This window comes from Homo sapiens, chromosome 2 (genome assembly GCF_000001405.40).
Source record: "Homo sapiens chromosome 2, GRCh38.p14 Primary Assembly".
NCBI lineage: Eukaryota > Metazoa > Chordata > Mammalia > Primates > Hominidae > Homo > Homo sapiens.
The window spans coordinates 120,608,248-120,622,603 of record NC_000002.12 but is presented as its reverse complement, the minus strand read 5'-3'; the positions used below and the strand labels follow the sequence as shown (position 1 = coordinate 120,622,603).

General features: G+C 50.0%; 1 annotated feature.

The window, feature by feature from the left end:
- Window positions 12,712-13,212: an enhancer, noted in NCBI's record as "H3K4me1 hESC enhancer chr2:121366968-121367468 (GRCh37/hg19 assembly coordinates)". NCBI's record gives its function as "activates a minimal SCP1, AML or CMV promoter by ChIP-STARR-seq in primed H9 embryonic stem cells {active_cell/tissue: H9 hESC(primed)}" and the evidence as "EXISTENCE:reporter gene assay evidence [ECO:0000049][PMID:30033119]".

The window sequence follows — 14,356 nt, the reverse complement described above, 5'->3', positions numbered from 1 at the left end:
CCAACAGAACCCATCACACACGGGTGTTGAGAGAATTCACTACAAAGAGGTACGCAAGGGCTTAGCATGGAAACCTCAAAATGACCATGGAGGCACAGCGACTGCATCTGGGATAGGGCAGGGCTGGGGAGGAGGCAGAGTGGGGAAGCAGGACAGCTGGAAGGGGTGAGGTGGCAGGAGCGTGGCTCGGGGACCAGGCACACATGGACTTCAACCACACTTTGTCACTTATTAGTTGTGTGATAAGAGGCTCGTCACTTAAATCCTTTAATCGTTAGTTTCCACTTCTGCAAAGTGGGCACACCCACCAGCATTTATCTCTCCACTGCTGCTCCTGGAGCTTTGCCCTTGTCACTAGGCAACATGCCATCAACTAGTGTGAAAATCTACCTTGTCACTAGATGACGTGCCATCTACCTAGTGTCACTCGACAAAACCGGGAGTCACTTTGGACATCTTCTTCTCCTCACACTCCACATCCATCAGCAGTCCTGTCAATTCTATTTCTAAGCACCTTCCAAACCAAACGGCTTGCGAGCAAGTAAAATTGACCATATTGGGGTCCTTTCCAGAGATTCAGGTTCACTGTGCAGCCTTGGCCAGCTGGGAGCATTTCTTGTCTTTCCCTCTGCTGGGTGATGGAAACCCGGACTCAGGCATGGCCTACACTGAAACGCCAGAAATTCTTTATAAAATTATAGCTCTGAAGTGAGATTATTATGCGTAAACCTCTCTCTAATTTTGTTCTCCAAGAGGACACAACCTTCACTAGAACTACAATGGTGAGGAGAGTGCTGGCCCCATTGGGAAGTAGGATAATGGCCTTTCTCCGAGGGCCGGAGATGCAGGTCGGAGAGAGTGTGGTGGAAACAGGCTCCTGATTTCAAGACGGAAGATCCTAGAAGGGCAGAGACAAGCAATGGTGTGTGACCACCAGAGACAGCAGCAGAGAACATCAGATGGAACCATCACAGAGAGTCGGGCTGGAGTGATAACGGTCTGACCCACGGGGATCTTGGTTATGGCTGTTTGGGTTTAGGAACCTAAAGACTGAAGTAGATAGGTAGTCTACTAAGGTTTCTTTGGATTTGACTGGAGTCATCGCGATAGAAAATCATGGCTTTTCAACTAATCCCTAGGTAGGCTTGATTCAATTCACAGATTCAGTCCCCCCAGGAATAAATCCATTGGCCTTAAGGCAGGACCTTGTAATAACATGAATCTTTCTCCAGGTCTATCACAGAGTGACCTGGGCCATTTGTCAGGTAATTCTGCACTGGAGAAAGAACTGTTGAACATTGGTTCTGAGCTAAGACTAATTCCTGGAAACTTATAACATCACTGTGGTCTACCAGTCAGAGGATTTTGAGGCTAAGGGGATAATTGGAGTTTTAACTCAATTCACCTGACTGAAGACAATGAGAATCCAAGCCCATCCCATGTTTATTTTCCATTTTCACATGAATAGTTGGAAATGCTTAGAAATTGACAGAATCTCTACACTGACTCTTTGATTTGTAGAATAATGGCTATCATAGGCCTAGTATAGTACTGGGATGGGCCAAATGGAAGCCCCTGGAATTCTGCTTCCCTACCAAGTTATTAGTCCATACAGTTCCATATCCTTTGGGGAATTTCACATATTAGTGCCAACATGAAATATTTGAAAAAAGTGCAAGAGTAGTGATTCTTATTTTATTTTCATATAACTTGCCTATTTAGTTGATAAAGAAGACAGGTGGATCTTGGAGAGTAACCACAGATTATTGTAAATGTATTCAAGTGGTGACCTCAATTACAGCTGTTATTTTAAGATGAGGAATCTTTACACATTTACACAGCCCATGGCATCACAGTTGGTCATTTAAAGAAAATTCCTATGAACGTAAAAAGCTTCAGGAATTCAGTAGTTTGTTTTCACCTGGAAAGGATAGCAGTACATCTTCATGATCTGCTCTGTGATTACATCAGCCTTCTGGCTTTGTGGCACAATTCACCCTAACTGTCTCACCATCTCCCATGATGCAATGTTCATCTCCTACATTGCAGATATCAAGCTAGGAAACCAGGGAAAGTAGAAAGTACATGTACTTACAAGCCTTTGTTAAGGCATATGTGTGATGTAAGATAGGTGATAAACTCCATACAAATACAGGGCCATCTCACTGAAGTTTCTGGGATTCTGGTGGTCTGAGACATATTGGGATATTTGCTCCAAAGTGAAGAAGTTGTTTCACTTTATCCCCTTGTACAAAAAGGAGGCATGGGGCTTTGTGAACCCCTTTACACTTTGTAAGGAGCACACCCTGTTTGGTTGTGTTGTGTTCTTACGACTCATTTATGAGTAAGCCATAAGACACCCCAGCTTGGGTGGGGCTCACAGCAAGAGAAAGCTCTTAAGCTGGCCAAGGCTATAAGTAGCTCTGCCCCTTGGGCCTTATAACCCAATAGATCCAATGGTGCTGTTTCTTCAGTAGGTCTGAGTGTTGAAAGCACTGATAGGAAATCGTAACTGAAACCCTAAGATTTCGAAGCAAAGCTCTGATCTGTTCAGTAAGCACCTATTCTTTTGTCAGTTAGCTCCTGGAAGAATACTGGGTCCAAAGAGAGAAACTGAATACCTGACCAAAAGATGACAGATGACAGAGAGGCCTTATGCTTCTCCTTATTCGCTGGGTGTTATCAGCTTTGCCAAACAGTAAGACTGAGCATGCCTGCAGCATTCCATCACTACCTAAGAGGGACCCAAACAGGACTGGGCCCTGTACCTGGCATATCAAGAACCAGAGTCAGAGGTGGACTGGTAAATATTTAACAACCAGCTCTCTGGGGGCTCCAGCACTCATCTGTGGTGTTTGCAGAGTTCCACGGTGTAAATACTCCCATTGTGGCTGATTTCAAGGTACGGACACAGAACTGGGAAGAGACCTCGCCATCAGTTGTCATGAGCTGCAGCAAGCTGGCTCTAGCACACCACTGCCCAGAGTGGCTCATGTTTTCATATCCCTTCCATTATATACAGGAGTCTCAGAAAGTCATCATGAAATGAAGTCGATAATAATAATGGCTAGCAAAGAGGTATAGACAGTGAAAGTTTTCTTTCATTGAACTTTCTATATGTAATATATATGTCATGCTGGTTAAACATTTTCTTAAAATAAGAAGTAAAATTAATATGCAGTACAAAAGACAGATCATGAATTAATACTTTTAAATCAAATTTTTTTTGAAAAAGGGAAGAATCTTTTTAAAAAAACATTGGTCTGTAACAGTAATCAAGAACATCACAGATTTTTATTTTGAGCTTTAACTTCTGCAAGTTTGCCAAAGACTTCATCAAAATTTATCTTCTTTGAATATTAATATTCAGTGAACTCTATAGCCAGATTTGGCATTCTATCTTTGTTCATAGTTGATTAACAAACATTTTTATTAATTTCAAAATCAAAAAAATTTTTACACATGAAGCAAGATACAAACAAATTGTTTTGTAAATAAGGTCTTATTGGACCATAGACGCATACAATCACTTATGTTTTGTTGCGGCTGCTTTTATGCTGCAATGGCAGAGTTGAGTGTTTGTAATAGAGACCATATTGCCTGCCTACCATATTTATTATCTAGCCCATTAAGAAAAAGTTTGCTAACGCCAGCTTATATGATGAAAAATAAAAGTTGATTGCATTTAATATGTACAAAATTTGAATTTATTTTTTATCAAAAACCCTAAATAATGGTAAATAGAATCAAAACATTTAAAAAATTTATGTTTTCAATAAAAATCTTCTTTAAAATATTTACAATTCTCTGTGACAATTGAAAGAAAATATAATTATAATTAATGGATATCAAAATCTTACAATTGTTTAAATAAAGCTGAAGTTTTTAATTTAATTTTTTGAAAATTTAGGAAAATCATATTAAATGATTTTACAAAACAAAGATTATCCACAATTCTGGCATTCTGCATGCATCTAGTCACTAACAGAAAGCACTAGTATTACACTTCATCATATTCTTCTTCTTCTTCTTTTTTTTTTTTTTTTTTTGAGACAAAGTCTCGCTTTTTTGCCTGGCTGGAGTACAGTGGCGATCTTGGCTCACTGTAACCTCCTCCTCCCGGGTTCAAGCGATTCTCCTGCCTCAGTCTCCTGAGTAGCTGAGACTACAGGCACCCGCCGCCACACCCAGCTAATTTTTGTATTTTTAGTAGAGACGGGGTTTTACCACATTGGCCAGGATGGTCTTGATCTCTTGACCTCGTGATCTGCCCGCCTCAGCCTCCCAAAGTACTGGGATTACAGGCGTGAGCCACTGCGCCCGGCCTCATCATGTTACTTCTAATGTAGACCTACATATATACTAATTGAAGAGTAAAACGAATTGTTTAATATTGCAATATATTTCTCAGCTGCTCATGCAAAATATCAACTCCACTATTGTGAAAGATATGCTAATTATCAGGTGCCTTCAGAATCATGAATTGGAACAGGAAGAGAAGGAAATAGATGCTCAACGTTACTAGGAAACAATATTTTGCTACTAAACATAAGTCATTAAAAATCTATTGCATTGGTGCTGAGAGGATTTAACAAGTGAAACAGTTTGTATTTTCTCTTAGGGAAGAGCTTCCACCATGCAAATTCTCCTTCCCTCTGGAAGCAGTGTCTGCCTGACATCTGCAGAGGTGTAACTCACAAATTTTCCAGCATTTAGATGCCTTTTGTGTTGAGGACATTAAACAAGAGATATAGAAATGGATTTCCCTGGGGCCTGAGCAGTGCCACTCATGAGAATGGATGTTTACCCTTGTTATCTACCAGCACCAAGGCCTGGATCCTGCGTGTTTTTAAGAAGTGTGTGGGGCTGGGCGTGTTGGCTCATGCCTGTAATCCCAGCACTTTGGGAGGCTGAGGAGGGCGGATCACCTGAGGTTGAGAGTTCGAGACCAGCCTGACCAACAAGGAGAAACCCCCATCTCTACTAAAAATACAAAATTAGCCAAACGTGGTGGCACCTGCCTGTAATCCCAGCTACTCGGGAGGCTGAGGCAGAAGAATCGCTTGAACCCAGGAGGCAGAGGTTGTAGTGAGCCGAGATCGTGCCATTGCACTCCAGCCTGGGCAACAAGAGTGAAACTCTGTATCAAAAAAGAAGAAGAAAAAAAAGGTGTGTGTGTGTGTGTGTGTGCGTGTGTGTGTGTGTTCATAATATGCAGGGCCCTCTGAAGCCTGGAGCCGGGGAAGCAGCCCCTCTTGCTGGGTCTAAGGGTGGCGTGTACATCCCCCACATGGTAACTGGCCATGATCACAGTGTTGGGCTGTGAGCAATCATGCTGCCACAGGGGACCTGGCCCCAGGAAACGATTCACTGAAGGAGACACTTGACCCAAGTTGCCCAACATGCAGAGTCTCTCTCTTAGGAATTTGGAACTGTAACAGAGGGACTAAAAGCCAAATGGAGCTCATGCCAGGGTTCTGGATGAAAGGCAATCCATTTCCACCTCTGAGATCCTCCGAACTGTCCTGGACAATCTTGGATTCTGTTCTTCTGGGATTTTGAGTTCCTTCAGGCCTCTCAGTATCTTTCTAATAAAGTTTTTTTCTTTTGCTGGTTTGGTCTCTATTACTTGAAATCAGAAGAACTGTAACTAACACATCATGGAAGGAATTATCTGCATGCCCAAATTGTAAGGTGGGGTTGAGCATAAGCCAGCCTGTGAAGAAAGCCTCTGTCCAACATCTGTAGAGGTGGCCACTTTATGGGGCCACTCTGTGGTCACAGTGTCCACACTCTGTAAGAAATGGAGTCCACACCCACATTCTATAAGGAGTAGAGTCTATCTGACTCCAGGAGGCCAGGGCTCAAGCCCAGCCTGAAATTCACTTGCCCAAGGTCCTGGCTCCACTACTCACCTGTGGTGTGACCTTGGTTGGGCAAGTGAACTTTTCTGAGCCTCAGTTTCTCCCTCTGAAAAATGGCACCATGCCTCACAGGGGTTAGGTATCTGGGAACTGCCAACCTATAGAGCATCTTTGCATGAATTAGAAAAAATTGATCCTCTGGGCACAGGGCTTGGGGAGTGGACTGCAGGCTGAGCTCAAGCCCTGGACCCCACCCCCAGCTCAGCTGTGTGCTGGGGTGCAGTGCCCGCCCTGCAGTGGTGACACCTGTTTTGCAGAACATCTGGGAGGTAAAGTACACAGAGCCCCTGTGAGCAATCACTGTGCTTCCCTTTTCCTGTCCTTTCCAGAGTCTCAGGCTAATGCCACAAATGATACAGAAAACCAACTCGCAAGCTGTGGATTTTAGGACAAAAGTAGTGAAACGATTATGGAGAGGAGTGCTGTGTGAAGGTCCCTAACAGCTGATCTGGGCTCCACACCACGCCGAGTCATCATCTGTCTTCTTGATTCCTTCAGTCGTTAGTTCATCATCTGGCCAGCTTCAGGGAACACCTGTGTCCAGGCTGGTTCTGCTGGCTGGAGGGAAACCCAGATGTGAAGCCTGATCCCGGCCCTCCTGAGAAGGGGACCCTGGAGGGGAAGGCAAGACCATTCATCATCATCGTAACAGTCGGTTTCTGCATGTGTGCACCCCTTGAGGGCAGGGAGCCTTTCCACTACTCTCTCCCAGCGTGTCCTCACCCCAACTCATGAGACCAGTGGGATGGCGCCATTGATGCTGCCATTTTATAGCTGAGAAAATGAAGGTTCCTAGGACTGCGGCGAATGCCTGCTTCATAACAATACTCTCTGAAGCTGGGCCTGGAACTTGGTTTTGGTGAGCCCTGGGCTCGCCCTGGGCTCCCTCCGTGCACCCATCATATCCAAGAGAGGTGAAGCTCCTGCTCTAGTCAGATGGCAAAGCCCACCAGTGGGCCACCTTTGCTGGTAGGCAGGGCCCTGTACATGCAAACCACCCGCTGTGAATAGGCTGCCTCCTTTGCTATCGTCTGTCTCTCTTGGCACGGGAAGAGGGTCCGGGTTTATTCTCAGACTTTGTTTTGTTCCTCTGCATGGAAAGTGTGTGGGTTTGGGCATGGCTGGCCAGAGAGATTTGGATTCATGTTTGTGGGGAGATAGGATGCCTCCCCACCGGGAAGGACCAAAGTGCTTTCTCTGTCTCAGCTTTCCTGGAACTCTGCACTGGGCAATACTGGACGAGAGGCCAGTTTTTAGTGAAGTGGTTATTAGTTTCCTGCTTGGTATGTCACAGGTGGGGTTCCCTGGAAAGCAGCTGAGATAGAGATTTGCATTGGAGGTGTGTCCCCAGCCTCTGTACCTCAGTGCCATCACTCAGCCATTGATGGGTCCCACTGAGGAAGGGTCGTGCTCTTGGGCAAGGGGGCTCTCTTCTGCCTGCAGGAAGAGGAGGGCAGGGGGCGCTGGAGACATCTTAGCAGCTGGGGAAATAAGTCCTCCATTCCTGAAGTGGGGTCCTGTGGCCACCTTGCTATTGGTCTTCTTCGCACACATCTCCTCAGGACCCCGGAGGAGCGGCGGCAATTCGCAAAGCAGGAATCTTGCGTTGCTGGGTCCTCCGGCTAAATGCAGCACATGTTATCAGAACCTCCCGCTGACTCTAGATGGCGGAGGGGTGAGCACTTTAGGCCTTGGGCTTCGTGGGGCATGGGGATTTCAGGGAGGCCTGGATGCTGGGATGAATTTGGGAGAGGCGATTGACCTGTGAGGTGGGCTGGGATGAGCGTAGGGAGGGGATGTACAGGGTCCTCCATCAGTCAGAAAGCCCTGCCTGGGCGGGACAGGCCTGCTGGATGGGTGCCGGGGCACCTTTCTGCCCTCCCTGTCCTCTCAGGGAGACACAGGTTGCCGTTGTGGGGATGGGGACGGGCAATAGGTCACAGCCCTGGGTGGCAGTGGGGAGAGCCAGGAGGGGCCAGATGCAGGAGAGGGGCCCAGTTATATCTGGGTGAGCTGGCCCTGCTGCAGCAGAACTTGGAGAGGCGTGGAGGGGCTGACCGTGGTGAGTGGGGCCAGCCTGTCTGAATTAGCACAGCCGGTTTCCTCTAGCGCAGGTTTTTCCACAGCGGAAGAAGATTCAGGATGGCGGGGAGCGGCTGATTGCCTTTGGGGTCCCTCCGTGACTCAGAGCGTTTTCCAGCTTGTTGAACTGGGGCCATGCTGTGTGAAGTTTTCTCCTGACGCTCTGACGGATGCATAATGAATAGGGAATTTAATCCATATGCTGATGACTCCTCTACCCTGAACTCATCCGCATGCGCTCCTTAAGAGCCCTTTGATGTCCAGCAGGACGCACAGCCTTTTTATGAGATGTTTTATGCTCTCTCCCTGCACTCCCCACCCACCACTCGCCGGTTATGTTTGAGGAACGGAGGTTGTGTTTCTAAGAGTCTAAATAGACTCAGACCTTGAGAGACTCAAGTTCTAAATTTGAAGCTCGTGGGCTTCCCTTGGACTCGAGCCCTGGCAGCCCTTTCCCTTCCAGCCCGGGGCCTGGCGGCACAATTCCAGAGGCCTGGCTTTGCATGCACGGATGGCAGGCGGGGTGAGGCGGAGCCGGAGGAATCAGGGGGCAAAGCTCTGGGCCTTTCTCCTCACCTTCAGGGTGCTGCCAGCCCTGGGCACAGGCGGTGTGAGGGCGGTGAAGGAAGGAGCTGGCCCTTGCCCTCCCTGCCCCAGTCTCTCTGCCTTCAGCCACATCACCCATGCCATTCATTCCATTGGGCTAACGCATTTTCTCCCCCCATCTCCGGTAGCATTGCAAATATGTATGATCTGCTCAACCCCGAACACTTATTACGGGCTCCTTTTTCAGCTGGGAGAAGTTCTTGGGCAATGGGACACAGGACGGCAAATTTCCATGAGAGGACAGGAGTCCCTGCTGAGAAGAAGGGCGTTGGAGAGGGGAAAGAGAACGCTGGAGGCTGAAAGCCAGTTCTAGGACCCCTAGCTGGCCCTGGGATTTTGGGGGTCTGGACTGGGCCTGGGAATCGGGGTGGGGGTGGGGGTGAGGGTAGGACCAACTCAGGTTGCAGAAGATAGAGCCTCCAAACTAGAGTGGCCATGCTCAGAAGAGAAGACAAGCCTGGGGTCCGTGTGTGTGCACGCACGCGTGTGCTGGGGTAGAGGGCGTTTTCCTGAGCTTTGAGTATGGACTGAAGTCACTTTTAGTAGCCAATTAGCACTTTGACCCTGGGGAGGATGGCAGCTGTTAAATGCTGGGGCCCAGAGTGGCACCAAGAATCTACTTTGAAGAGGGAGCAGGGAAGGCTGTCAGAGAAGAGAGAGTTTTGGTCTGAAGTTTGGAGATGTAGGGGTTCTCTGGGGATACAGGGGTGAAGAACGAGAAGGGGGAGGAAAAGGAGACTCAGAGATGTGCAATAGGTGTTTTGGGGGTGGCTTATGCAGTGGAGAAGGTGTTCTGTGCTTCAGCTAACAGAACTGTGTGTCCTGGTGCCACGGAGGCGGGTCACACCTGTTGCACAGAAAACCGACACCTGGAATTACTTTAGCTCATTTCCGCCTGGTTTTCATCCTCAGCTGGCAAAGCCACCCTGCTCTGTGTCTCCGGGACACACCCTGTTTGGGAATGTTGGTAATCCTGTGACCCCATGCGTCTCCAGCTCCCCACTGCCACCCCACCTGAAGATGGGGACAGGGGGCAGAGAGTTTTGTCCCTTTCCTTGCATGGTAGATGAAGCAATAGAGGATTGGAGAGATGATATGGTTTGCCTAGGGTCACACAGCAAGCCAGAGGCTTCTGTCCCAGAACCACATCTCCCAGAGCTCGTTGCTGCTGCATCTTCCCTGGGCTCCTGCTGGCTCTGTTTCTCTGGGGCGGGGGCAGTGGTGGGGGGCACCTGACAGGTCTGCATGCGGAGCCCACCTATGAAGACCAGCTCGATGGCTCCTGTCCTTAGGAGCCCACTCTCAGGTGGGGGACAGACACAGAAACAGATGCAGGTAACGTGGTGTGATAGATGCAAGAAGAGAGGCGACCCCATGCAGGGTCCCCGAACCCAGGCTGGGGGAAGAATATGGGAAGGTGTTCTGGGAAGGCTTCCTGTAGGAGGTGAGGCCTGAGTTAAAGGAGAAAGGGGAGCAGGAAGAGGAGAGGGGAGCCAGAAGGAGGTTACAGGTGTTAGGAAAGTGAAGTGCAAAGTGGGGCTTGGTGCAGGGAGTGGACAGTTGTGACCAGGGAAGCCGGGGGGATGAATCAGCTTCTTCCCTGGGAAAGCGGGGCCTTCTGAGCCCTGCTGGAGTGTCTGCACTTTGTCTTACAGGCCTTAGAGACAGACAAGTGTGCATCCAGAATGATCTTCCCTCCTGGGGAAAAGCGGGCTGGGAAGCGGAAGGGCTGAGGCAAGACACCAGTGAGGGGGCTGCGAAAGGGATCCTGGAGAGGAGAGGGTGCACGGGAGCAGAGAGACAGGACACGCTCAGGAGCTACGCCCGGGTGTAACCGGCAGGATGTGAAGATTGTTGGTGGGGGAAGCGGGGTTCCAGGATGAGCCCGGATGGAGATCCAGGTGAAGCGGGCTGGGAGCCCAGCATGGCTGGTTTTGTGCACTTTGGGCTGGAGCACTGGAGAGGCCCCTGAGGCCCCTCGGGAGCGGCTTTTCTGGTGTGGTCCAGAAGAGCTGAAGAGCTCAGGGAGGTCCATGTCCTCAGAGGAGGCTCAGGATGGGGTTGGGGTGAGCTTTGGATGAGCTTTCAAGCCTTAAAAAAGGGGCTTGAAATTGAGGGAAGACCAAAGCCCTTGAGAGACACCCCTATCTCCCCTGCTCCCCTCCCAGCCTAGCTGTGAGCATGGCACAGCCAAGTGAACATTTGCAGAAAGAAAGGGAAAGGAAGGGGAGGAGAGAAGGGAGGCTTCAGCAGTCATTTCTGCTCCTCCCATGAAGGCAAGAGCTGGAAGGTGTCCTAGTACATACAACTCCTCTCGGCAGGCCCATGGGAGGGCCTCCGTGTCTGACAGCCACACCCTCTACTTGCGTAGCACCTTGGGGGCTACCTCCTGCCCCTTGGAGGGAGGGATCTAGGACAGGGAGACTCCTGGTTGCAGGTGCTACAACAGCCAATTGAAGCCTCGATTTCTAGCTTCAAGGTGGAACCAGAAGCAGGTTATGTCCATTTGGAATGATGAGCCTTTCCCAAAGTCAAAGGCTTAGAGGGGAGTGAAGCCAGGACAGCTTCAGCACAGCTTCCCAGGCATGTGGACCTGGGGGTCGGGAGGGGAAGCAAGTGGTTTCTGAGTAAGGAAGCAAAGGGCCGCCTTCCTCACCCACCCAGACGTGGCCAGCACATGCCTATGGCAGAACCGAGGCTGGCTCAGCTCTGTCAGGAACTGGGGCAGCCTCCAGCAACTGGGCACCAAGGATGCCTGGAAACAGGCTTGCCTTCTGTGGTCAAGGGAAATACACGTCCTTCAGGAGGGCTCAGCAGACACACAGCTGCCACTGGGCCAGGCGGGGTGGCTCATGGCTCTGGGTGTTTCAGAGAGTTAGGCAATGTGCCCTTTCTATTCATGGGGTCAGCTGGGTGGAGTCCTGCCTCACTTTTGATGAAAAGGTTTGGGCAGCTCTGCCAGGCACAAGTGACTCCATGTCCCCACCAATCCTCTACAATTATATTGCTAAAGATCAGTCACAATATTGCAGCATACCAAACATGGCATTGGGAACTAAGTTCAAAGCACCACGTCACAACCGACACGTGTCTGCCAGCTTTTCGGATGAAGCTTCAGCCAATTACAGGACAGCTGGATGCCTCCAGAAAGGGTCTCATGACTTCTGGGCATTCGTTTGGGAGGGCTGGGTCTCCGAAAGCCCCCTCCCGTTTTGAGGCCTGCTCACCCCTCAAGGAGCATCACGAATGGTCCAGTGGAACAGCCTAGGGATCTCTGAGGATTCTAATCTCAGAGCTATGACTCTTCCAAAGTGGGACCTTGAGCAAGTCACTCAGCTCTCTCATCTGTCAAATGAGTAAATATCTTTGGGTCCACTGTCTTCCAGGGCTGTGAAGAGAATCAAATGAGCCCATAGATGAGAAAACTAATTTGAAAGTTAAAAAGGTCTTTCCACAACTCCTCCGCCTGAGCTGACCCTGAAATCTCTGAAAGCCACAGTGTTCATTTCCTGTCTGGGGCCGGTTCTGTGGCCCTCCTGGGCTCCTCTTAAAAAGCAAATGACGCTGCAGCCAGGGGTTGGAAGGAACAGCCCCATTTCAGCCCAGGTAAGCAGCGTATATATTCCTCCGCACGCCACCTCCTACCGAGGGTCATTTGACTTTCTATCAGCAGCGGCTAATGACATGAGGAGACATAACCCTGGTGGGGCCCATTCCTGCCCCTTCCCATGTGGCCTCGCTCATAGTTGGGGGAAGTCCCAGGGAAGCCTCTGGGCTGTAAAACAATGAGACGATTCCTTGGCAGGAAGTGGATGCTGTCCCAGAGGGTGCAGACTTTTCCCTCATTGACCATCCCATGAAGATCCTGTCTTTACTGCGAGCATGGGAGGAGGCCGACGCCTGTGGAGCTGGGCTTTTCTAGAGAGGCATCTGAGCTGAGGCCAACCCCGCCGGGCTGTATTTATTCTTTCCTGCAGGGCCTCATCTGACAGATGTCTGCAGAGCCCACAATGAGGAGCAGGCATCACTCAGTGCTGGACAGCATTAGACCAAAAGGGCCCCAGGGGCCTAGCCTGTCTGACTCCAGATTCACATAGCTTCCTTGGCCCTCATCTTTGCAGCCCTGGCCCCAGCCAGGGTCCCCTCCCCCAGCAACAGTCGTTCTCAGGTGTGTGTTGCTATGTAACCCTGAGGACCCAGACAAGGGTTGGCCTTCCAGCCTTGTTTGCATCCAGTGTGCTTGGGTCCCATAGGCCCTGGGACACTGTGGTTCTGAAGGACCCAACCTATGTTGCCCTGGAGGCTGGCCACTTCTTCAACAGCCCCCAGTCAGTCTTCCTCCCTGGTGAGACTTGGTTTTGCTGTTGTCCACACTCACTCCATGACTCAAGGGTAAATCCTAATTATTCTAAGCCAAACATGGCTCTTCATCAGTGATTGGTCTAGAGGTAGGCCTGTGACACAATTCTGGCCAATAAGATGTGAGGGGAAGCATGCTTTGGGAAAGGTTTCTCACTGATAAAAAAGACACATAGGGAGAGGTGTTCTCTCTCTCCCTCAATGGTGTCATTTGTATGTGATGCTTGGAACACTGGCAGCCATACCCACACCATGAGGGGTGTGAGTCCGAGGACAAAGCTAACACACTGAGTGGGGGACAGACTTGAAACATGGAAGGAGCCTGGGCCCACCATGATGTCACTGAATTGCTAAATTAATCAACCTTGGTGCTGCGCTTCCTCAAGAGTTCTTGTCATGTGACATTTTCCTTGGTGACATTGGGGTTGAGTTTTCTGCTCCCTGCAGTGGAAGCCTCCACACTGCCTCAATCCCTGTCTCCACCTGCTCGCAGCCCCTTTCCTCCTCTTTAGGAGCCACAGAGATCTGTCAGGTAGCCTCATACTCCATTAAAAACAATGACAATCTCAGCGCTGTGGTTATATTGCGTGGAATTGCCCCAAAGATGTGTGGTTTGGTGATTTGGATGCTGGTAGCATGAAGCCCCTGCACCCCCAAAGGCCTTCTCCAGAGGGAAAGAGGGCCTCAGGACCCTCCCACTCCCTGGCCACCCCACTGTTTTCCACCCCCAGCCAGGAGTGAGACCTGGGGGATCCTCAGGCTCATCCCCACCTGAGTGTTGGGATCATCCCTCTGTAGTTGGCTCCACTGTGAGCCTCCCTGCTCCAAGGGCTTCCGTCTTCCAAGGGGCATTGCAGCTGTTGCTCACACCCCTCACCCCCAGGGACCAGGGCTTTTCTATCTCTGCCACAGCAAGCAAGTGGGCCTGTCTCCCCACCATTCAGCCAGAGGTTGGATTCACCCAGGATCTCCTCCAACCAGGGAACAAGCAAGGCTTCTGGGAGAACCAGGGGTCATGGTCTCAGGAAAGCCTCAGGGATGGCAGAGTGCAGAGGCAGCCTTCTGTGGCTCTAGCTCCCAGGAGCTCCCTCAGGGGTGGGAGTGCTAGGGGGAAGCTTAGAAGCAAGGAAGAAAGCTGTGGTCAGGGCTGAGGTTCTGGTGGGGGACAAGCCAGCAACAGGGGTGACCGCTGCACTGGGAGCTCCTTGGGGTTGGGAACCCCATCCTTCTCTCCAAGCTGTCCCATGTCTGACATGGCTTAGGATGGGTGTCCCATGGGTATACTCATTCATTCATTCAACATGCCAGACATAGGACTGCACTTGTGATCTCTCGCATCCAGGGCTGGGGCCCCTTCCCACACCCACCCTGCTTCCCTCTCCCAC